This window comes from Homo sapiens, chromosome 11 (assembly GCF_000001405.40).
Source record: "Homo sapiens chromosome 11, GRCh38.p14 Primary Assembly".
Classification (NCBI taxonomy): Eukaryota; Metazoa; Chordata; class Mammalia; order Primates; family Hominidae; genus Homo; species Homo sapiens.
In genome coordinates this window covers 102,766,210-102,769,552 of record NC_000011.10, presented here as the reverse complement: position 1 = coordinate 102,769,552, position 3,343 = coordinate 102,766,210, and the positions used below count along the sequence as shown (strand labels likewise).

Below are 3,343 nucleotides of genomic sequence, written 5' to 3'. Positions count from 1 at the left end.
TGAGGCCCAGTGGGTTTAAAAAAATAAAAGTCCTTGGCATGTTCAAGGAACTGAAAGATGAGTGCCTATTGGCATGTTGGAGAGTAGGGGTGGAATAAGATATTAGACAGGTAGACACAATCAAATCATCCAATGTCTTTACAGTATACTAAAGAGTTGTATTTCACTTTTAGTGCATTGTAGATTCATCGAGTGAGTCTTAAACAGATAAGTTATGCCAGCCATTATATTTTTGAATGATTACTTTAGCTGGAGAGAGTTGGAAGGAAGTGACGACAAAAGTTGGAACAGGTTAAAAATGACAGGGAAGGGTGGTAGGGACAGGGGACCTCTGGGTAGATTGAGAGACATGACTGGATTTTTTTTATTTTTATTTTTATTTTATTTTTGGCCCTGTCACCCAGGCTGGAGTGCAGTGGTGCAACAACCACAGCTCACTGAAGCCTTGATCTCCCGGGCTTAGGAAATCCTCCCACCTCAGCCTCCTGAGTAGCTGGGACTGCAGGTGTGCACCACCACTCCCAACTAATTTTTGTACTTTTGGTAGAGACAGGCTTTTGCCATGTTGCCCAGGATGATTGGGAACTCCAGGGCTCAAGCAATCCATCTACCTCAACCTCCCAATGTGCTGGGACTACAGGTTGAGCCACCATACCCAGCCCTGATATATATTTCAACATCATTCAGATTTCATGATAAACTAGATAGAGTTCTGAGAAAAAAGGAAGGTATTAAGAATAATTCCTAGATTACCGGCTTGAACAAATTCTTGGATCACAGCAGCTTCAACAGAGTCAGGGGAAGGCTGAAAGAGAAGCAGTTTTGTGGGAGAAAGTTAAGATTCAGTAGGAATCACCTCACCTTTTAAATATAGAAATTCTTGTAAGTTAACCAACTAAAGGCATTAGTAGGCCATTAGATGGAGGAATCTGGAGCTCAAAACAAAGTAGATAAAACTGTGGGTGTTTGGCGGCATCAGTCAAGCCATGGGAATAGGTAAGTTTATATGGGAAGATTGCAGAGATAAAAGAAGATGGTTCAGGACTGAACCTTGTAAAATGCAGTATCACTCAGACCAGGCCAGGATATGCTGTGGTAATGAGCACTTCCCGATTTTCAGTGGCTTAGAACTAAAAGTGCATCGTAGTACTCCACTGGGGTCTCTACTCCAAGTTGTCCTCACTTCAAGACCCGGGCTGATGGAACGGGCACCACGTTGAACGCCAGCCTTCACTGCGGCGGAGGGAAAGAGTTATTGGTAAATTTCGCGCTGACTCCTAGAAGTCTGTGTGGATACAATAAACATCATTCTGCCCATACTTCATTGGCCAAAGAAAATTACATTGCCTCATCTGACACTAAAGATAGTCAAATAATATACTGTCACACGCCTAGGAGGAGAATCAGAAATATTTAATAGAGAACACTAATCATAAACACAAAGGGCTTCCTCACAAAAACAAAAAAAAAGTAACATGTGTACCCGGGTTGCCGCCGAGGCTCGCGCCTGCGCAGTGAGCATCCCGCCCTTCGGCTGCTGGGAGCCTCCCAGAGCCCAGGAGCGGCAGGGACCAGACGCTGGCTTTGGGGCTGCCCAACAGCCCAGCGGCTAACGACACCCGCGACGGGGGACAGGTTGATTTGGTTAAACAACTCCACTACCCATTGATTTTCTCAAAGATATTTTGCGAAGACGTCCAGGAGGACAGATTCTTAAGGCCTTTTTAATGGACATTTGGAACAGGCAGAGGCAGACACTGCCTTCTAGATGCGGTTTTAAAGCAGCTACGGTGAATGATGGGGTCAGATCTCCGGGTGTACAACACGGTTTTCAGCCCGGACGACTGGCGCGGCATTCAGAAATGGCAAGAAGTAAGACAAAGTATGAGCCTTTGAAGGTTGGAAGATTTGGAATTGAGTTTAAGTCTGGCTACCATAGAGATGTTCCTTGTATCTTTAGTGGTGACTGGATTGGGATGTTCGAGCCTCATCAAACACTTTTTGGCCCACATGAGTGAGACCAGTGTTGGAATGTCAAAGATGACAGCATTTAAATTCGTGAACTTTTGGACCAATTTCTGCCATTTGCTGGCATTTTTGGAAGCACCAAGGAAACATTCATAAATCTCAATTTTCCAGAAACATTTTTTCCTTTTCCTTTTCGCCTGCATCCTCGACAGCTTAGTAGTAAACACTACAGTAAGCAGAAGGTTCTCCAGCTCTCCGTCTTTTAGGGCAGATGTAGACCCAGTGCTGCTCTTTCTAAAAAGTGTGCAGGACGTCTCCTTATAATGTCCGAGAGGCTGGTGGAATGGAGAAACCGGTATTTAGAGTGACTTCAAGGGCACTCTATTTAGACGGCACTGAAACGTGAACGTCTGAATTCTATAAAGATCCTGGGAACTGCACTAAGTAACAATTGTGAAAGGACTCCAAGCAATGGCATCAACTGTATAACATACCATGCTGGTATTAGAGCCTCTCTTCAGTGAGTTGTCCCAGATTGCAGGGATTTATGCAGTTAGCCATGATTGGGTCAGTTTTAGAAGACAAGAGTACTGAAGATGTACAAAAGCCATCTTGGTTGGTGTGTAATGGTGTGGGTGGCCAAGGGATTTGCAGTAATCTTCAGTCTTTAGTGGATGGATTGAAATTTGTCCCAATCATTGGAATAGCCATGTCTTTGTCAAGCAAAGATGGTGAAGCAAAAGGAGCAATGTCAGATGTCTCAGGAATAGCATTTTGTTTTCTTTACTGCAGGGTGGGGAAAGCAGAACAGGCCTCCCAGTTCACATCAGTGGGTTCTTTGGCCTCACCGACAACATCAGGAACATAAAATAAAGAGATGTGGGCAAGTGGAGAGACCTGGCAGCTTTCTGGAGTGAATTTGTTTTCATGACTGTTGTCCCTAAAGTTCATGCTACTTTGATCTTAGATTCACCAAAACTTCTGGAGTTTTGTTACAGAAAAAAAAAGTAACATTCCTATATTTTCAGTATTTTACATTAGATTTTTGACAGAGAAATATGTACAAATGACCCAAAATCCAAAGAGAAGGAAATACCACTTTCATTAGTAAAAAGTTTTTCTCCCTCTCATCTCATCTCAGCCAACCAGTCTTTTCCAGAGGTAAACAATGCTACTAATTTCTTATGAATCCTTTAATCTACTTTATGCATTAATAAGCATGTCTATTAAGCCTTTACTTTCTAACCCAAAGGGTGGGATACTTTATATCCTATTCCACAGTTCATTTTTTCTCACTTAATATATCTTGGAGACTGCTCTGTATCAGTGACAAAGAGCTGCATTATTCTAATTAATAGCTACATAGTAACCCAAT

General features: G+C 42.8%; 1 pseudogene; it reads left to right on the top strand.

Moving 5' to 3' along the window:
* On the top strand, positions 1,626-2,752 carry LOC100421658 (sacsin molecular chaperone pseudogene; annotated as a pseudogene).